The sequence below is a fragment of the Homo sapiens genome, chromosome 11 (assembly GCF_000001405.40).
Source record: "Homo sapiens chromosome 11, GRCh38.p14 Primary Assembly".
NCBI classification, from domain to species: Eukaryota; Metazoa; Chordata; class Mammalia; order Primates; family Hominidae; genus Homo; species Homo sapiens.
In genome coordinates, this window is record NC_000011.10 from 102,573,919 (window position 1) to 102,596,293 (window position 22,375).

Genomic DNA, 22,375 nt, shown 5'->3' on the forward strand with positions numbered 1-22,375 from the left:
CTTGGTTTATACCAGAGAAAATTTAATATGGAGCTGTTAGGAAAGCTCCCCAAGGAGGTGAATCCATTCATCCTTAGTAGCCTGTGTAGTGCTTTCAAAGGTTCAGCCCACAAAGAGTCATCACTGAGATTAATAGGATAATGCATAGAATTCATCAGGAAGTGAACTCTGTTTTGCTACCTCGTGATCCTCAAGGGAGTACTTCAACCACACTTTGTCCAAAACTGTTATTTAATAAGTCATGTTTGCACTCAGTTACTCTGAAGTCAAATGAGTAGTTTATGTTATAAATTATTTCTGCACAACGTTCTTGTATCATATGAGGATAAGTGCTCTGTGTTATGACACAATCACACCTTCTTGTGCTTTAGAGAGACTGTATTTTTCCAAAATACATACTAATTTTATATCTGAGAGCAAAGAGCTTTCTTCTTAAGACAGGGTCTTGCTCTGTCACCCAGGCTGGTGCAGTGGCACAATCTCAGCTCACTGCAACCTCTGACCCCTGGGCTCAAGTGGTCCTCCCACCTCAGCCTTCCAAGTAGCTGGGACCACAGGCATGCGCCACCATGCCTAGCTAATTTTTTGTATTTTTAGTAGAGACAGGGTCTCACCATCTTTCCCAGGCTGGTCTCAAACTCCTGAGCTCAAGTGATCCATCCACCTTGGCCTCCCAAAGTGTTAGGACTACAGGTGTAAGCCCCTATGCCTGGCCTAAAAGCCAAGAATTCTTTAACTCAACAAAAAATAATGATTTATAAGAATTATTTTTTGGAGATGGGGGATAAACATAGTATTTTTAATTATTTGATTTAATTTGACATTTGGAAGAGAAAAATTTCAGGTCATTGATTATCAATTCTTGTGATATTATAGCTCATCAGATGTTTAGCTATCTCAAGGGACATATACAAATTCTCCAAAATATCACCAAACAAAATGAACTCTAATGGCTTCAAAAACAACAATTATAGAGCCCCTGTAGAGTGCCAGGGACTACTTTGCATATTTTGACTCATATATTTAAGGCTCTAAATATCCTTAGGAGATAAAAACTGCCATTATTCCAATTTTATAAAGGAAGACACTGAGACAGAGAATGAGGATGAGGGAATTTGGTCAACATCACACAGTTGAAAATAGAAGATCTGGAGTTTGAATCCATCAGTCAGACCTGAGAGCATATGCTTTATTGCTTTCAGTGAATTCATTGACTAGTGAAGTGTCTTCTGTATGCACGATTCTGGGCTAGTGCTGGACATGAGGAGGACATCTGGCTGGTTGCGTGCAGCACTGGATGTCCTCAGGCTGGTGCTTCATTGTCATGTGGTCCCTGACACAGTTGCCAGAATGCATGACCTCCATGGATCATCACACTACTTTGATCTCCTTCTTTTTTTTAATGTAACAGCTTTATCAAGATATAGTTAACATAACATATAATTCACTCATGTAAAGTGTACAATTTAATGGCTTTTAATATATTCACAGAGTTGTGCAACCATCACCATCATCAGTTTTAGAACATTTTCATTATCCCAAAAAAAAGAACCCCATACCCATTAGTAGTCACTCCTTATAACCCCCTCCCCCAACTACTGACAAGCACTGGTCCGCTTTATGTCTCCATAGATTTTTTTATTGTGAACATTTCATATAAATAGAATCATACAATATGTGACCTTTTCTGTCTGGCTTCTTTCATTTAGCATGATGTTTTCAAGCTTCATCCATGTTACAGCATGTGTTAGGACTTCATTTCTGCTTATTGTCGAATAACATTCTGTTGTCTGAATTTGCCACATTTTACGTATTCATTCATTACTCAATGGACATTTTTCCACTCTTTGGCTATTATAAATAACGATGCTATGAACATTTATGTGCAAGTTTTTTGTGTAGACATGTTTTAATTTCTCATAGGTATATACTTAGGAGTGAAATTGCTGTGTCATAGGGTAAGTCTACGTTAAATATTTTAAGAAATTGCCAGCCTGTTTTTCTCCTTGCTTATTGATAGTAAGAAGTCCTTCTTAGCAGTTTTTGCAAAAGTGACTTTTCTCCTCTATAGAAGCACCTTGACATTAGAAGGCAAGGATGCCAGACCTTGTCTTCAACAAATATTCAACATCTGGTGGACTATAAGTGGCCACTTTCAGTAACAGAAACCAAATGGAAAGTGTAGAATAATCTTGAGTAACTACCCCATCCTTTCTTAATATTAGGTCTTTTAAGTGACTATATGAAACAAATTTAATAAATGATGGTAACAATAGTAGCATCTGTTAAACACTGTAGATGTATCAGGAGGTCTATGAAGTATTACAAGTATCTTATCATTCAATTTTAGAATCACTAAAATATTTTAGAATCTTTACATTCTAGAGAGTAAGATTAAAGCAAAATTATAAGAATGACAGAGCCATAGTTTTATCTATTCTGATGACTAGGTAGGGGAAAAAGGTTTAGCTTGACGTAAGAAAAACTAAAACAAAAAGATGAACTCCCCTGAATGGAAGACTATTCAAAAGACACTCACTTAGCTGGGTAAAAGATAGTTTCACTGAGGCTGTTTTCAGGAAGCAGGAAGTAGAATGAGTTACTGTTATTTCTTTCCGGGTCTGTGTACTTATGATGTTATCTTACGGTTTAATTTTTCTATAGGTACACAGGATGTGTGGGTAGCCAATTAAAGTATTATAGAAGCTAGTAAATATTAACAGAAAAAAGAAATGAGGAACTGTTCTATTAAAACATTTTATTAGCTATTGTTAAAAAATTTTTCTGTTGCAAAGTGCCCATCTCTTGCCTACTATGAAAATTTGTTTGAATAGGTTTATCCACCTAAGCCTACATCAGATACCAGTGAGTAGACACAAAGTTAAACACACAAGAAACCACTCTTATGCAGTATTTTGTTGTGATGTCTTTTAAGTAAAAATTGGGAAATTTATATTTATTATAACAAATGATGGCCAAATGATGGCCACAAAAGCCATTGCTTGTAAATAATTATAATTCATACTGTAATGACATTTCCTATGAAAAGAATTACAATATATGTCATGGAATCCACCACTAGTCTTCCTCCTGGAAATAAAAATCAAACGGATCAATCTGCTTCAGTATATTAGGTAAGAAAAAATAATGGTGTCTAACTGCAGAGTGCATTGTGTTGATTTGGATTTCGCATAAAGTTGCCCATATAAAAACTTTTCTAATGTGGATTGAAATTCTGATTATACAACTATGAAAAAAATTGGAAGTATTATTATTCTCAGTGAATTCTAATTTGATTTGAAGGCCTTTGGAAGAATCCCTCTCCTACATTCTGCTTTAGTCCTTAAGATCCAGTTAGAGGCTGCTTGTAGTCATCCTCATTGCTTGAGAAGACTAGGCTTTTCTATTTAGCAACCAATCCAGGAACTAGATTTCACCACACTAACCACATCTTCCTTCTCTGTGTCATACTTGTATGTTTTTGGTCCTGAAAAGAAGTAAATGTAGCCTAAAAGAGACAAAGTTGAAATTGGGTTACTGAAGATGTCCAGCACATATATAAATGGAAGAATTTGTCACTGTCACTTTCTTAAAGTGTCACCAAAGAGGAATTGTGAATTTGTCAGGTGGCAGTTAGCTTGTCTTCTGTCTTCATGCCCTAGAACCTGACTCCTGAACTTCTCAGTCATTTCTGAGCTTTCTCCTTGTTCCAGCCGGGGTAAGGCCTTCTTGTTGGGGTCATCCAATGTGCCATGCTCAGTTATGTACTGTGCTTCTGCTCAGGCTGCTCTCCTCCAGGAAGCCACTCCCCTTTTCTTTCCCTAGTTAAGCCTCCGGCCAATCTTCAAAACCCATCTGAAGTCCTACTATAAAATTTCCAATGACTGCTGCCGATTCTGATATTTTAATTCTCAGATCAGCTCTTGCAATTATTGTGCAGTCTACCACATGACTCAACACTAAATTATAGATTGTCTGTTTTCCAGTCATTTCATCTGTGTTGGGTGAACCATTCTGTGAGAGCAGTGGCCACATCTGGAATGGTCTTTGCACTTCTGAACAGTGTCCAGCCCTGTGCTATTTTTTCAAGAAGAGTGTGCTAACTGACTACTTCAGAAGATTTAATTAAATGTATTCAACAAAGTTCTATTCAACTTTCCTAGCTATGTGTTAAATTGCAGGAGTTGGATGATGGAGTGGGAAAAAGCACTGAGAAGCTTGAGACAGATTTTTTTTTTTTTTTGAGACAGGGTATCACTCTGTTGCCCAGGCTAGAGTGCAGTGGTGCAATCACAGTTCACCGCAGCCTCGACCTCCTGAGCTCAAGTAATCCTCCCATCTCAGCATCCGGAGTAGCTGGGACTACAGGTGTGTGCCATCATTCTCAGCTAACTTTTTTGTAGAGACAGAGTTTTGCCATATTGCCCAAGCTGGTATTGAATTCCTGGGCTGAAGTGATCCTACCACCTCATCCTCCCAAAGTGCTGGAATTACAGGTGTGTGTCACTGTGCCCAACCAAGACTATGTGTATTTTAAAGATAGAAAAGGTAATCTTGACCCCGGTAGACTTTATGATCTAGCTGACTAATCGATTGAAGCTATACTTTAAAAACTTTCCATTAGGTGGCCAACATGGTGAAACTCCATCTCCACTAAAAATACAAACATTAGCTGGGCCTGGTGGCCAGCGCCTGTAGTCCCAGCTACTTGGGAGGCTGAGGTAGGAGAATCGCTCGAATCTGGGAGGCAGAAGTTGCAGTGAGCAGAGATCGCGCCACTGCAGTCCAGCCTGGCCACAGAGCGAGACTCCGTCTCAAAAAAAACAAAAAACAAAAAACAAAAAACAAAAACAAAAAACAAAACACACACACACAAAAACAAAAACAAACAAACAAACAAACAAAAACTTTCCATTAGGAAAGAGAGAACTAAAATACCAGAACTTTTACAGTTACTCTTTCTAGTGGACAATCTGTTTAGATAAACTTATGAAAGGACCTAAGACCAAATATAAAAACCAAGGACTCCCACTTGGAAATCCACTTTCTGTTGTGTTAAAGCAAAGCCAAGATTTCTTATGATAGTTTTCATGAAGAAAGTTTTCAGTGGAAACACTTACCATTTAATTCTACAGCAGCATCGATTTGGCCATTTACTCCTGAAAATTCTTCTTCAGTATTCTTTGGATAGTCTTTTTCCATTTTCCTTTTCCTTTCGTCGTAGCTAGAAAAAGTATTATTTCATAAATAATATTACTAAGAGGTTTTTACTGGTTGTAGATGACACTATACTGGTCAGGCATATGGACACATAACTTATTTAGGTGTTCCTCTCTCTCTCTGTTTCACATACACATACACATGCATTTATGTTGTTATTTATTTTTTCTTTGTTGTGTTTTTGTTTTTTTTTTGAGATGGGGTCTCACTGTTGCCCAGGCTGAAGTGTAGTGGTGCCATCATGGCTCACCACTGCCTTGACCTTCCAGGCTCAAGCGATCCTCCTGTCTCAGCCTCCTGAGTAGCTGGGACTACAGGCATGTACCACCACACCCTGGCTAATTTTTATTTTTTATAAAGACAGGGTCTTGCCATGTTGCCCAGGCTGGTCTCAAACTCCTGGTCTCAAGCAATCCTCCCACACCTCAGCCTCCCAAAGTGCTGGGATTACAGGAATAAGCCACTGGGCCTGGCCCTTGTTGTTTAAATCGGGCTCTTAAAATACCTAAAAGAGATTATAGACCTTTATCACTATGCTCCCATGTTCCTGAGATTCTGGTACCACAAGCTTGGAAGTCACTTGCTTAAAGCAGTCTCCAAAAAGTTTCCACATACATTGTTTAGAAATATTCATTCTATATATTATAGCAACATGTTCTGTTAACTCAAAAAAAACTTGCCATTTGAAAGGAACTCTCTATATTTTTTATTGCCTTATTTATTGTTGTAATTATTTCTCTATCAATTCCTTGGTTCATCAAATCATTGAAAGCCTTTCATAGGTGCTTTTATTCATGAACTTAGTGCTATGTATCCATGGAGAAAGGGTTGAACAAATAATGCACACTGAATGAATAAAGAAATGTGTGAACAATAAGTAAATAAGAAGCAAGTAAATATGTAATAATTGAACTTCTGCCTTTTAAACCAATTTACTTGAATTCCATTGCTTTTGTTTCCTGGAAAGCTTATATGACTGACTGAATAGTAGACCTGATTTCTTTTTCTGGATCAGCAACCAGCATTCAATGATAACTCTGAAGATTGATTAATATATCTCTTTGTGATCTAAACTACTCATTGTTAAAAAAGACTGTGACTGTGTGAGTCAGCATGACTTGTATGAGAATCAGACTTCATTTAAAGTTTGAGAAAGTCCCTTCTTCATTAGCACAGAGTTCCAAATGGGGACACTCCCAGGTGGACACCCCACTCCTTTCCCACCAAAAGGTCAGACAATTTCTCCCAGTGCCTGGGCTACTGAAAAATTTCCTGTGGCAGCAGATCCACCCACCATCTCTTGAAATGTCCCTCTTGTGTGGCTATGACTACACAGGCCAGGGATAACTCTCTAGTGATGTTGAGCCAAAGGCAAACATTGAAAAAGATGTACTCAGGCTGAAACTAAGTGCAAGTCTGAGCTGCTTTACAGAATGTTTGGAGCTAGGGGTGGAAGCTAACTGTCCCAGCATATTATCCATATTAACTATAACCATTAATATTTCATGTGGACCTTATGTGTAGACATTATGCAGGGGCCTGCATAACAAACACGAGGTTACCTACTTTTCATTTTACTAAGTAAGAACATTACCATTTAACCATCAAAAGAACTACTACCACCTGTTTTCACACTCATTTCACAAAGACAAAGAAACGTTAACACCAAAAAGGCAGGAAGGACATAAACTGAGAATAAAAGATGGTTCTCGCCAATAATCTGTTTTTATGCTGACACAGACTGCAGCTCCCTGATTTATAATATTGTGCTGTCCTTATTTAGCTGTGAACTGGTGAGAACTTTGTGATGATCTAGCCCTTTGTTTGTGGACAGATATTTAAGGATTTCTGTTATAGTCCAAAGAGCTCAACAGATACAGTCTGATGGTACTGGGTTTGAATTTCTGACTCTGTTACCTGCTGACTCCGTGATCAGGAAAACGTACTTTGAGCTCTGAGCCCTGGTTTTTCTCATCTGGAAAACATTGGTCATGAGGGTAAGAGACAATTTACACACACACACATGCACACGCACACACCACACACACACACACACACACACCTGGCACATGTAGCACCAAGAGTAGGCCCAAGCCAGCAGTCTTTGTCATTTATTCTGGCCCCAAGAACAATTAACTCTGACTTGTCAGTGTAAGGTTGAGTGAACTTCATGGTTTGATCTGAGATTCTAAGTCACTAAGGAGTTTAATCTTTAAACTTACTTTACAAGATAATATTTGCGGTGGTAGGCAAGGTTGAGAAGGGGTGAAAAAGGAGGGCTAAAAAGTGTTGGAGGCAGTCCAGAGAACCAAGTCAGAGAGGGGATTAAGATGAAGTAGGTCTGCTGGTGTGGTGAGGATTTTACTGAGAGAGTAACAGAAAAGGAGATTATATGATAGGATGAAGATCACGGGGATTTTTACCAATAATAAATAAATGATGAAGAGAATTGAAGAATGAAAATATGTGGTGGTTGGGAAGGCCCACTGAATTTGAATTCAGAGGACATGAAATACAGCTTCAGATGGACCACTGTAGCTGTGTGATCTTGAGTGAATCATGTAACCCCTCAGAGACACAATGTTCAATGAAAATAAAAGAAATACCTACTTCTCAAGATTGTTGAAAGGTGGATGGGACAATGAGAGAATATGAGAAAACGCTCAGCATGATTCCTGGCACACAGTAAGCCAGCCATCAAGAAATAGTAACTGAATTTCAATATTAAGGAAATAAATACAATTTTTATTGAGAATCAACTATATCTTGAGTATCTGCTAAAATCATTGCATATATCCTCTCATCACTGAGGTCTTGTTTGTGAAACCTAAATACCAAACTAGAAATAGTGATCTGAATTATGTTTATTTCCTTTGTGGGCATTTGTTACATCATTTAATATTGATTCAAGGTATTTACATTTAATATATATTAAATAAATCATTGCCTGCAACAGATATCTGATGTAGTTTTTCAGATACGTTATCTTACTCTCCACATTTGTATTCTAAGGACTCAGGGACTGTTTTGATAAAGTGCCTGCATTTTTGTTTAACCTAATCTGCATGCTTAGAACTTAGATTTGTTAGGTATTTTTGGTGTTTTGATTGTGCTGATTTCAGTCACATGTCAAGGGCATAACTGACTCCATTCTACCCTCTTAGAAGCACTAAATGGGGAACTGAGTCAGCTAAAGGATGCTTAAAGAGAATGCAAGAAAGGGCGGCAAAAAGGGGAATTTACTGATAAGGTTTCTAAGATGGTTTCAGGAAGTTTTCTCAAGGTGACCTTTCCAGTGTGGGTCAGGAGGGACAATGAAATAGAAATCTGAAATTCCATTTTGAAGTTAATGATTTCAGCCAGAAATCACATGACTTTCATGAATGAAGTGGGCTTTGTGATCTATACTAGAGAAGGGCAGGTAGGACAGTGATCGGGAATGAAGAGAAGGCAGGAGAGGAGGAAGCTGCCATGTACAATCCCAGATGAGGGTCAGGAAACAGGACCCCATGAGGAAAATGATAGTGAGGAGATTCTGGGACAAATAATTTGTAACAACATAGAAAAATATGTATCCTATAGTATTAAGTAGAAGAATGTCAGGACACAAAATTTCATACATAATTACTTAAAAATGGGGAAAACTGCAGGAAAAAAATAGAAGAAAAATATTAAATGAGTATCAAAAGATGTTGCAAGTGTTGACCATTGAAGAATTTCTTTCCTTTTCATACATTCTGTGTTTTCTATAACAAACATCACATGCTGTCCTTGGACCCCATCTTCCTGGGCAGTCTTATATCCTCACATGGCCTCAATCACCATCTGATTACATGATGAATTCCAAACTTATCTTTCCAGCCTGACTGCTCTTGAGTTCAAGACCTGTATGTCCAAATCTCTTCTGATATTTTTCTTCTCAGTTCTCACCAGCATGTCAAACTCCATATGTACAAATTGAAGCTGCTTCTTGTTCCCCTAAATCTGCTTCATTTCTTAAGTTTACTGTCTTGATAAATGCCAAAATTGAAAACCCATTTATTAAGGAAATGACCCCCAACTAGTCAGTCATCCAGACCTATGTTTTCTACTGTTTGAAGAACAATCAAATCTACCCCAACTCCCAAACCCATCATCTCTGGCAGAATTCTTGCAATAGTTCTCTCTCTTATTTAAACAATTCAGTGGTTTTTTAGTGCACAGTCATTTGCCATATGTTGACATTTCAGGAAATGACAGACCATGTACATGATAGTGGTCCCATAAGATTATAACACTGTATTTTTACTGTACCATTTCTAAGTTTAGATACACAAATACTTACCATTGTATCACAATTGCCTACAGTATTCAGTACAGTATCATGTTGTATAGGTCTGTAGGAGCTATAGGAGCAACAGGGTATACCATATAGCCTAAGTGGGTAGTAAGCAATACCATCTAGGTTTGTGTAAGTACACTCTAGGATGTTCACTGATTGACCAAATCACCTAATGACACATTCCTCAGAACACAGCCCCATTGTTAAGCAAGCGATGCATGACTATAGTCACAGAATTGTGCTACCATCAACACAATCAATTTTAGAATGTTGCCATCACCCGCCCCCACAAAAACCTTATGCCTTTTCACTGTAAGTCCCCATACTCCACATCCTCATCCCCCATCTCAACCAGACCTAGACAATCACTATCTACTTTCTGTCTGTTTTAACTTGCCTATTATGGACATTTTATACAATATGCAGATTTTCATGACTGACATCTTTCACTTAGTATAATGCTCTCAAGATTCATCCATGTCGTACCATGTACCAGCATTTCATTCATTTTTGTGGCCAAATAATATTCCATTGTATGAATTTATCACATTTTATATATCCATTCAACACTTGATGGAGATTTGGGTTGTTTCCAGCATTCGTCTATTATTAATAATGCTGCTATGAATATTTGTATACAGCTATTATGTGGACTTATGTTTTTACTTCTCTTGGGTATATCCTCAAGAAAGTGGAATTCTGGGTCAAATGATAATTCTATGTTCAATTTTTTGAGGAGCAGGAGACTGCTTTCCAAAGTGGCTATACTAATTTACATTTCTACTACCAATGTATGAGGGTTCTGATTTCTCCATATTCTCACCAACACTTATTATTATCTGACTTTTTGATTATGGCATTCTAGTAGGTGTGAAGAAGTATTTCACTGCGGGTTTCATTTGCATTTTCCTCATGACTATTGATGTTGAGCATCTTTTCATGTGCTTATTGGCCATTTGTATATCTTTGTTGGAGAAATGGCTATTCAGATCCTTTGCCCATATTTTAACTGAGTTATTTTTCTTGTTATTAATTGAATAGTCGTTTATATATTCTAGACACAAGTTCTTTATCAGATATATGACTTACAAACATTTCTTCCCATTCCCTGGGTTGTCTTTTTACTTTGTTGATAGTGTACTGTGAAGCAGAAAAGTTTTTAATTTTGAGTAAATCCAACTTGTCCTTTTTTTCTTTTTGGCTTATGCTTTTCATGTTGTATCTGAGTATTCATTGCTAAATCCAAGATCACGAAGATTTATCTTACATTTTCTTTTAAGAGTTTTGTCAGATTAGCTCTTATATTTAAGGAATTTGATCAATTTTGAGTTAATTTTTGTATATGTTGAGAGGTTGGGGTCTAAGTCCATTCTTTTGCATGTGGCTATCCACTCCTTCCAGCATCATTTGTTGAAGATACCATTTTTCTCCTTTGAATGACTTTATATCGTTGTCAAAAATCAGTTGCCCATAGATACATGGCTTTATTTCCTTACTCTAAATTTTATTCTATTAACATGTATGGCTATCCTTATGCAAATATCACAGTCTTAGTTACTGTTTCTTTGTAGTAACTTTTGAAATTGGGAAGTATGAATCCTCCAACTTTGTTCTTTTTAAAGATATTTTGGCTATTCTAGGCCCGTGAGTTTCGAGTTTCAAGAAAAACTTGTCAATTTCTACAAAGAAACCAGTGGTATTCTGAAAGAGATTGTGTTGAATCTACAGATCAATTTGGGGACTACTATCATCTTAAAAATATCCTCATCCATGAACATGAGATATCACTCCATTTAGATCTTGCTTAATTTCTTTCAACAATGTTTTGTAGTTTTCAGACTACAAAACAACATTTTCCATTTCTTTTGTTAAATTTATTTTTAAGTATTTGACTCTTTTTGATGCTATTCCAGTTGGAATTGCTTTCTTAATTTCATTTTCAAATTGTTTGTTCAGGTGTATAAAAACACAATTGATTAACACATTGAATTCATTCCTTGCAACCTTTCTGAACTCATTTATTAGTTCTAAAAGTTTTTTTAGAGTATTCTCTAGGGTTTTTCTATATAAAAGATAATACCATATGCAAAAAGAAATAGTTTTACTTTCTCTCCTATCTGGATAATTTTTATTTCATTCGTTCTTGCTTAATTCTCTTGGTTAGGACCTCCAGTACAATGTGAATGGAGAGATGAGAGCAGAAATTTTTGTTTTGTTTTTGATGTTAGGAGGAATGCATCCAGTCTTTCACCACTGACTATGCCATCAGCTGTGGGTTTTCATAGACGCTCTTTATTGATTTGAAAACGGTTATTTTTATTCCTAGGTTTTATTCCTAGGTTGCTGAATGTTTTTTTATCATGAAATAATGTTGAATTTTGCCAAATGCTTTTACTGTATCTACTGAGATGATCATATGATTTTTGTTTTTATTCTATTGATATGGGACATTACATTAATTGATTTTTGGATGAATTCCTGGGACAAATCCTACTTGGTCTTGGTGTATAATTCTTTTCATACGTTGCTGGATTTAGGTTGTTGGTGTTTTTGGAGGATCTTTGTAGCCATATTCACAATAGATACTGGTCTGAAGCTTTATTTTTTTGTCATGTTTCTGTGTGGTTTTGGTATAAGGATAATGCTGACTTCAGTGAGTTAGGTAGTGTTTTCCACTCTTCTATGTTTTGGAAAAGTCTGTGAAAAACTGGTATTAATTCTGTTCTTTTCTAAGGTTTGGAGGAGTTTGTAAAAAAATTGACATTAATTCTTCTTTCAATGTATTGGTAGAATTTACCAGTGAACCCTTCTGGGCCTGGGCTTTTCTTTGTGGATAGTTTTTGATTACTGCTTTAATATCTTTTCTTATTGTAGGCATATTCAGACTGTGTATTTCTTCTTGACTCGGTTTTACTAGATTGTGTCTTCTTATGAATTTGTCCATTTCATTTATCTAATTTATTGGTATACAATTGTTCATAGTATTCCTTTATGACCTTTTTTATTTCTGTAAGGTGAGTAGCAATGTCTCCTCTTTTATTTCTGATTTTAGTAATTTAAATTTTTTCTTTTGGCTGGGCACAGTGGCTCACACCTGTAATCCCAGCATTTTGTGAGGCTGAGGTGGGCGGATCACGAGGTCAGGAGATCGAGACCATCCTGGCTAACACGGTGAAACCCCATCTCTACTAAAAAATACAAAAAAAAATTAGCTGGGCATGGTGGCGGGTGCCTGTAGTCTCAGCTACTCAGGAGGCTGAGGCAGGAGAATGGTGTGAACCCGGGAGGCGGAGCTTGCAGTGAGCCGAGATCATGCCACTGTACTCCAGCCTGGGGGACAGAGCAAGACTCCGCCTCAAAAAAAAAAAATTGTTTCTTTTTTATTTGATCAATCTAGTAGAAAGTTTGTCACCTTTGTTTATTTTCTCAAAGAACCAACCTTCAGTTTTGTTGGTTTTCTCAAATTGTTTATTTATCATCTATTTTATTTATTTCCATTATAATGTTTATATTTCCTTCTTTCTTCTTGCTTTAGGTTTAATATGTTCTTGATTTTCCATTATCTCAAAGTGGAAGGTGAAGTTATTGATTTGAGATTTTTCTCCTTTTTAAATATAGGCTTTTATAGCTATAATTTTTTTCTCTGAGTGCTGCTTTCACTGCATCTCATAAGTTCTGGTATGTTGTATTTTAATTTTCATTTATTTCTAAGTACTTTCTAATTTCCCTTGTGATTTCTTCTTTGACCCATTGGTTGTTTAATAGTATGTTGTTTAATTTCCACATATTTGTAAGTTTTCTAGTTGTCTTTCTGGTATTGATTTCTGGCTTTATTCTATTGTGATCAGAAGAGATACTTGTACGACTTAAGTTGTTTTAAATTTGTTGAGACTTGTGTGGTGGCCTAACATATAGTCTATTCTGGGGAATGTTCCATGTTCACTTGAAAAGAATGTGTATTCTGCTCTTTTTGGGTATAGCATTCTATAGATATATGTTAGGTCTAGTTGGTTTACAGTATTGTTCAAGTCTTTTATTCTTTGTTGATCTCTCTGGTTGTTCTATCCATTACTGAAAGTGGGGTATTGAAATCTTTAACTATTATTGTTTCATTATTGACTTATCCCTTCATTTCTGTCAATTACTGCTTCATACATTTTTGGGGCCCTGTGTTAGATTCACATATGTTTATAATTACATCTTCATGGTATATTGACTTTTTGTCATTATAAAATGTCCTTCTTTATTGCTAGTAGCATTTTTTATTTCAAAGTCTGTTTTGCCTGATAATAGTATAGCCATTCAAGCTTTCTTATGGTTGCTATTTGCATGATATATTTTTTCCATTCTTTTACTTTCAATCTATTTGTATCTTTGAACCTAAAATGTATCTGCTGTAGACAGCATATAGGTGGGTCTTGTTTTTTACAATCCAATCTGGCAGTCTTTGCCATTTGATTAGACGGTTTAATCTATTCACATTTAATGTTATTGATAAAGTTGAATTTATGCTTGCCATTTTACTTTTTGTTTTCTGTATAACTCATGTCTTTTTGGTTCCTCTATTCATCCTCACTGTTTTCTTTTGCATTAGTAAAAATTTTCTAATGTAACATTTTAATTTCTTTTATAATTGTTTAACTGTATTTTCCTAAGTGATTTCCTTAGTGGTTGATGTAGGGCTTGCCATATACATCTTAACTTATAAAAATCTGCTTAAGACTTATACTAAATTAATTCCAGTGAGATATAGAAACATTACTCCTATATAACTCTATTTCTCTCCCCTTCCTTCTGTGTTATTATTGTTATACCTATTGTATCTATCTACATCTGAAGCCCCAAATTAATTGTTATAATTATTATTTTATATAATTTAATGTCTTCTAAAGAAGCTGAGAAGAGAAAAGAGAAGATGTATATATTTGCAGCTTTTGTTATATTAAGTTTCTTAGTTGCCATTTCTGGTTCTGTTCTTTTGTTCCTGTGAATTTTAGTTACCATCTAGTGTCTTTTCTTTAGCCAAATACAGTTTTGCTCCCACCTACTTCCTTCATATTATTATTGACAAGTATATTTCTACATGTCATAGCCTTAACAATACAATTATACAATTATATGCACATTGTTTAATATAATTGATTTTCCATTTTTAAATTAAGAGAATAAAGAAGAAGAAATATGCATTTATACTGTCTTTTACATAATTACACTTACTACTGATGCTCTCTGGATTTTTGTGGGGGCTTGAATTGCTATCTAAGCTCACTTGCTTTCAGCCTAAAGAACTTTCTTTAGTATCTCTGGTCAGGCAATCTGCAAGTAACAAATTCTCTCAGTTTTTGTTTCTCTGGGAATGTCTTTATTTCTCCTTCATTTTTGAAAGATAACTCTAGTGGATATAAGATTCTTGGTTGAGTCTTTTCTTTGAGAACTTTGAGTATGCTTTCCACTGCCTTTTGGCCTAACTAGTTTATCTGGCTTCAAGTCTCGTTTCCCTCTAATTCAGTCACATTGCTAGGGGAGTGTTATTTTTATAACATTAATCTTATTGAGTTTCTCCCTTATGGAAGGTATTTAACATGTCCCTCTTCTCTGCAGAATAAACACTGATCTCCCTAGAAAGGCATTGACACTACATGATCTGTAACCTGGTTTCCTTGGGCCATCGTTCTGATTTTAGTCTATATTCTAGTCATACTGAACTGTTTGAGGTTTTCCCCATGCTCACATGCTATTTTGTGCATCAGTAAATTTGCTTCAACTGCTTTCTCTGCCTGGAAGCCACCCACCCGCACCTCACCCTCTGTCTGGGAAACTCCTACACAACTCTCAAAGTGGAGCTCAGCCATCACTTCCTCTAAGAATTATTTCCTGATAATTTTGCTAAGTTGGCCATTTCCTCTTTGTTTTGACCCACTGATCTTCATGAAGTCTTGTATCAGAGCACTTTTGGCACTTGGATTTCTGTTAGTTATTTATCTATATATTTACCCTCAACTGTAAGATCTGTTGAGGGCATTAATAACACCCAACATGAGCTGAATGCTTATTATGTGACAGGCATTTCACATTTTTCCCTTTCAATGCCATAATTCTAGGAAGTGTATACTATTTCTACCCCCATTTTGCAGATGATGAAACAGACAGAAAGGTGATCCAAATTGTCAGATAATTGTTGGTAGAGTTAAGATTAACACTAGGACTTTTTACTTCTGCCCATTCTTAACCAGCAAACTCTACACCTTCTCTTGAATGTCACTAGTACACAGGCTGACACATAATATGTCTAATAAATGTAGGTTGAATGTGGTAGTTTAGTCATAAGTTTTTTAAAATTTAAAACATGAAAAAACAAGATTTTTGAACCCTATTTCATCTTATTTTTATTACTTATTATTTATTTATTTATGGTGACTATAAAATCCTCAAATAAAAACATCTATTTCTAGTATTTCTGAGGCATTCAGGAAGAAGAGAATGTGGAAGACGTATTCTACTTTGCAGCAATGATGCCCCGAGTCTGACTGTACAGAAAGAGTGATTCAGGGTAGAGGGGCAATATGATTGAAAAGGGGTAGGATCTGCAGATTTGCAAGTCACTTTGCATAAAATTCAGAAATCATTGACTATCTTGAAGAATTATGGAGGTGGTGACACCCCCTGCTGCCAGAAATCCCTTGATGTAGCCACTGCTCTGCTACTGGTAGGCAAGGAAGAATATGTAAAAGGAGAAATCAGCCATAGGTAGTGGAAATAATGTAAAAAATGAAAAACTGATGGAACCATTAGGGCCTGCTAGAAAGAGAATAGGAAGGAATAAAAGTAAGGGGAAGTGGTTCTAGTTGGCAAAGTTTAACCAATATGTCATTTGCTGATGTAGCATGTAACGGCATCAACATAGTAGAGCCTCCTATTTGGATTTGACATTGTGGTCCTCTGTGCGCTGCTCCCCTATAAGTAACTACCACACAGAGACATGGGTCCTCCCTTTTAGAGCCTAATCCAACCTGGCCCCAAGCCAACCTTCAATCCTCTGTGGAGGAAGTTCCTCGGTCATTTCCTCATGGCATTTCATTCACTAAAACTGGGTCCAAACTCTGGGAGTTCTTGCAGAATTTCCAGAGACTTTTCTTCCCTTGGCACATTACTTACGTCACAGACTGAACTAGCATGAGGAGCAAGGAAGAACTTGAGAAATGTCTAAGACAAATAAAACCTAACACACTTTCAGTGGATGTCAATGTAGTGAAATTCTTATTCCATAACTTGAGGCTTGGGACCTTCCATATTTTTGAGTATGGCCATGTGCTTACCTACAAAACTTCATTTATCTCCTTTGTCCTTTCTTCTCAGTTCCATCCTTCTACAGTAGGGACATAATGACTAAAGCTCCCCTGGCCACCTCGAGTCATGAGGCAACCACGAGAATGCAAGTATGTGTTAAGAATAGCAGAGCAAAATGTTTAAGGGAACTTGGGTCCCTGTTGATCACCAGCCTGCCATACTGGCTCTAAACTGTCAGACTTTTTACACATATGAGAAAAACAAACCCTCATGTGTTTAAGCCACAATTATTTTGGGGTCTCTGATACTAGTGGCTAAATTAAATTTCAAACCAATAGAAGGCTTCATATGACAATAAGATGTCACACATATGAGGCCCTGTAAAGCACACTGTGCAGAATTCAGGGGTGTTTATGAATAGGGCCAGTACAATAGGTTTCTCTAAACTTTTGAGCTATAGGTGAGGGTTGTCTTACTCCTTGTTGCATACACCAGTGTATGTGTTGGAGTGCGTAAAGTAGAAGACTGCCATTGCTGAAGGGATTGTCTATGTTTTGCCAAAAGCAGCAATTTCAGTCCAATGTTAGGGGCCTTCAGTATTTAAAAAGGAAATTCCCTTTGACCAGATTTTTGACTGAATCGCCGCTCAGAGAAATATTGAGGTTTAAGCAATTTGTTATGCATCACAACTTGTTAAGAAATTATTTGTTAGTTACCATATAAGTTCTGTTGCTGAAGAATAACTCTTTTTGAGCACCTGCTCTATGCAGACCTTGCTAGGTATCTGTGTCTGCATGCATTACATCACTTAATACCCTCTGTAACCTGAGAAGGTTAGAAGTGCCTACGATGGTTTCCTTCCTTAACCAGAAAAATGAGCTTGTTAACATTTTAGTTAATGCCCTAGACCAACTTTTCGGTGAATCTATTTATCTAGATTACAAAAGACTTCTCCTTAGTAGACACTCACAGAGGCCCAGTTGGAAAGGTACAGTACGATTTTCTCTGGGGGCAAAGAGCATCACTAAAATCAGAGAGCCTTGACCTCCCCATCCTAAAACTTACAGAGAATTTTGAACCTCTGCCCACATCTCTTAACTTAGCTGTTAAGTTTCAATCCAGCCTGGCTGAAGGTATATGCTTTACTGCAGGTGCTGGTGGGTGGTAGATTAGACCAAAGATCAGGTGATAAATGGGCAAGAGAGACAATGGGAGAGTGGATAATTCCCCCATTGAGAATCACACTGTGAATACCCTTTAAAACATTAACTGAATAATCCTAACATAAACGCCCTCATACTCCAACAGACGTGCTTACACATGCATCTCTTGATTTTATTCTCTGAAAATTCACCAGGGGAATTGGATTTCTCAATACCTATCTTCCTGTATATCTGCTGTGTGACTACAGCCACCTTATCTTAAAGAAAGACTTTAGAGAATCATACTCTGTCTTGCAGATATTAGGGCCTTAATAAGTGAATTCCTGTCATCATGTTTTAAAAAGGAAGGTCTGAGAGAAAAATAGCTGGCCTAGTGGCTTAAACACTGGTCTGGAAGTGACAGCTCATGACACCGCATGACACTGAGCAATGCTTCCAGGGCTCTCAGTGGCCCAGAAGAGTCAGCAGAGTCCATATTTGTTTGCAATTCCTTCTTTATAAAAGAAATTTGCTTTCTTATGAAATATATTTATGTGCCTCACTTATATTATTTTCTCAACTCCAAATTGGGGAAGAAAATATGAATCAGATAGAATAAGATGACAAATATTTGTTTTGAAATTTCTTTTATACCACAAAAATGATTATTTAAAATACGTGATAGAAAATAAAATGAAAGCTCTTGGAACAAAGTTGGGTGCTCTCCTGTTTTCTTCAAGACCCTTTCATGAGCCTAAGGTGTCTAGCATTGTCACCTGCTTAGAATCTGCTTTTGCTTTTCTCTTCGGATGTTTAGATAAACAGGCAAAAAAGAGAAAACTGGGAACAGAGGAAAGCTGTGCAGAGGCAGAGGTGATCTTTGAAGGAGCTCCTCTCATTCCTCAACATGAGTCAACTAAGGATAGAAACTCAGTAGCTAAGATAAGGTGTGACCCTATGTGCAGTGATTGGATGACAGATGACATCTGATTCAGACTTGCTCATACGAAGCCCCTGAGGACAGGAATTGAAATTATATGTTTTCCTTTGGATAAGAAGGATTTTCATATTCTAGGCTGGATAAAAGGACTAAGCAATAAGGCCTTTTCCTTCCAGCAGAACTATCCTTCAAAGAGACCCATGGTCAGGACCATCTCCATTTTGCCCCAAATCATGGAGTATTGTGGGATGCATTTGATGGTCACATAACAGCAAAGTCAGGCATTCTCAGTGGGTAGTTAGGGATTTGGTGATGCTGCATCTACGCTTTTAGGCCACTAGGTGTCCGGTTAATGAGTGCATTGAAAGATCAGGATGTGTCAAGTCCTACAGACCAAACAATGGGATTATTGAATGAAGGTTTCACTCATCATTTTGATGGTTCCATATCTTGAAGACAGTCAACCATCTGTAAATCGCACCCCAGTGGCCGAGAAGAGTCAACGGGCCTATCGCAAACTTGCTTTGCATTCTTTCGTGGAAGGGTTTTTATCTTTTTAAAATCATTCTCATTAAATAAAGATAGATAGTAAAAAGGAAAAAAGCCATACCTGTAGTATTCATCTCCCACAAAGAAAAGGGTCTTCTGTGGCTCCCTGAGGTAGACAGCAGCATCTATTTGCTGCACGTGCCTTGGAAATCCAAAGTCATAAATAGTCCGAGGAGGACCTTGCATTTGGAATCCTCTTGTTATCCAGTAGTGGGGACCTGAAAACAGAAATTAAAGTTTACGAAAACTCTGCACCACTTGGTGATGCACTTCTCTCATAAAGATTTCTATGAAGGCTCTTAAATGGGGTTAGTTTATGGGATACTTGCCATGGCTATAACCCAACAAGAGATATAAGCTTCTAACTATTCAGTTCAGTAAAAGACTTCAAACTTCCCTGGAGGCAAAAGTCCCTAGTTATGCCTTAAGAAAGCAATAACATTGATAAAATTGTGTTTTACATTTAACATACTATGTCTTTCAAGATATCCTTCATTTATAATCTCATTTCACCTTCATAGATCTACGAGAGAGAATGGGCAAGTGACATGCAAATGTCATGATTTTTACTTAAATTGGCACTTGCTTTCTAACCTTATCCCTCAGTATCAAGAACATATAAGCTAAAACTGATAGTTATCACCTACTGGATAACTTCCATTGGCTCGCCATTGTCACAACGCACCTTCAAGGTTTATATTGCTATAATCACTTTGCAGAGGAAGAAATGGAGCTCAGAGCCATTAGATAACTTTCCAAAGTCACTCAAATAGTAAAGGGCTAGAGCCAGAGATTGGTATATGTGTCCACCTCCTGAAGTCAAAGGCGTCCTCCTCTCCTGGCTGCTTCTGACCACAGCATAGAAGTAAGGGTATTGTTTACCTCCCACTGAGTTCCACACTGGCTTTTATTTATTAAAGGATGTCAGTAGAGTATACACTGTCACTCTGAGCAGAGGTCCTGTGTGGCAGGGACCATGTTTCTAGCTCCCTAGGCACTATCACCTAACACAGTGCCTTACTAGCCTAACAGGCTTGGTTCTCAGGGCCACTGCCATCATTTCCATTGTTACACAATGTCGGGTATAACAAATGTAGGGTGGCATTTCATACCCAACCTGAGGACAAAGAGCAACTGAAATGTGCTCCATGATGACTGGAAAAATGCTGGCAGGGCTAGATATGCCAAATGAATGGGGCACTGCAGCCCTGCCATTTCTTTCTTTGAGGGATCTGTAGGGTACCTTTGAAGAAGTAAGCAGTGCCCCTCTCAGCCACTTCGTAAGCTGCATCCACATTGGACATGAGCTGGGGGAAGGAGCTGGTAATAGTGCTGGGCCGAATTCCTGTCCGCAAGTGAACCTGCCGTCTCCAGAAAATCCTATGGGACATTCCAAAAAAAAAAAAAAAAAAAATCAAGATCAATGATTGATTTACATATAAAATTGCACTTTGACTGAAATGTACTCAGAGGCCACTCACTAAATGCCCTTTGCTCTTGCCTTGCCTTGCCTTGTTTTTTTTCTCTTTTCTTTTTTTTTTTTTTTGAGATGGAGTCTTGCTGTTTGGCCCAGGCTGGAGTGCAGTGGCATGATCTTGGCTCACTGCAACCTCGGCTCACTGCAACCTCCACCTCTCCAGTTCAAGCAATTCTCCTGCCTCAGCTTCCCGAATAACTGGGGCTACAGCTGTGTGCCACCATGCCTCACTAATTTTTGTACTTTTAGTAGAGACAGGGTTTCACTTCACCACATTGGCCAGGCTGGTCTCGAACTCCTGACCTCAAGTGACCCACCTGCCTCGGCCTCCCAAAGTGCTGGGATTACAGACATGAATGACCATGTCCATTCCACCCTTGCCATGTTTTTAAGGAAAAACACAACTTTTTGGACCTTGGTAAACAGTTTCTACTCCCTTTTCATTGTCTTAGCATTTCTGTGATCCCCTCTCCTTCGTTTATTTAAGGATGTTCAAAATAATGAAAGAATATAGCAAAGTAATAGTATCAATTATTTACACATTTAAGCTATGCACCCCCCCATTCCAAATATCACTTGATACAAATTTCTCTTTCCTTTTCTGATCTTTTAAAAGTTAAAATCTTACAAAGGTAACTATGATCCAGAAGGTGGACATTGTGAATAGTATGTAAATGAACCAGAAGTCTATGGTTGAGTCATGCTGATTAGACCCTGTAAAAATAGCGAAAACATTAATAATCATAAGTTATGGTGTTGCCTACATAATTGTGCGCTGGAAGCATTTACATCTTTGAGTCTGATGGCTAGTTAACAGAAAATCTAGTACACACATATTGATTTAAGGCTTAGCAATTCATCTATCCATTTACCCAATATTATAGTCATAAAATTGTGGCAGTATACCCATGAGGGTACTGGATTGAAACTGACAATGTAATGTGCTCTATTTTATAGTTTGAAGATGAAAATCATTTTTTATAAAACACGAATAATTTACTTGTCTTCTTAGGAGCCCAGAATTACTTCACAGGATTATTTGGGGACTGGGAAACTGTAATAAAATTTTGACATTGAACTTTCCTAGTGGCTAATTTAGGAATTCTCCAAATTTTATGTAGAGTTTTCCTATTCAGTTAATCTAACAAATATTTATGGAGCACCTATCATCAGGCACTGTGGTGGACATCAAGGATGAAACACTGAAGAAGATGTCGGCCCTGCCCTCAATATGTTTACAATCTAATAGTAGAGACTGATTAGTAACGATCAGAGTGATTGGTGCTACGAAGAGTTAAGTTCAGGATACTTTGAGAACACACAAGAAGTATATCCCATTGCATTTAGGGGCTTAATAAAGGTATCCCTAATGAGGCAACTTAAGCTGATGATAAAATCCAAAAAAGGAATGTATTGGGAAAAGATAAATATTTCCTCAT

The 22,375-nt window shown here is 37.3% G+C and overlaps 1 protein-coding gene across 1 annotated transcript in view; it reads right to left on the reverse strand.

Moving 5' to 3' along the window:
* Positions 2,914-22,375, reverse strand: part of MMP20 (matrix metallopeptidase 20) — a 48,501-nt gene continuing 29,039 nt past the window's right edge. The window contains exons 7-10 of the mRNA NM_004771.4: positions 20,703-20,839; positions 19,521-19,677; positions 5,121-5,224; positions 2,914-3,508 (exon numbers count right to left, since the gene is read on the reverse strand). Coding sequence (NP_004762.2) covers positions 3,408-3,508; positions 5,121-5,224; positions 19,521-19,677; positions 20,703-20,839 — 499 coding nt within the window. The 3' untranslated portion in view covers positions 2,914-3,407. The remainder of the gene's footprint in view (positions 3,509-5,120; positions 5,225-19,520; positions 19,678-20,702; positions 20,840-22,375) is intronic.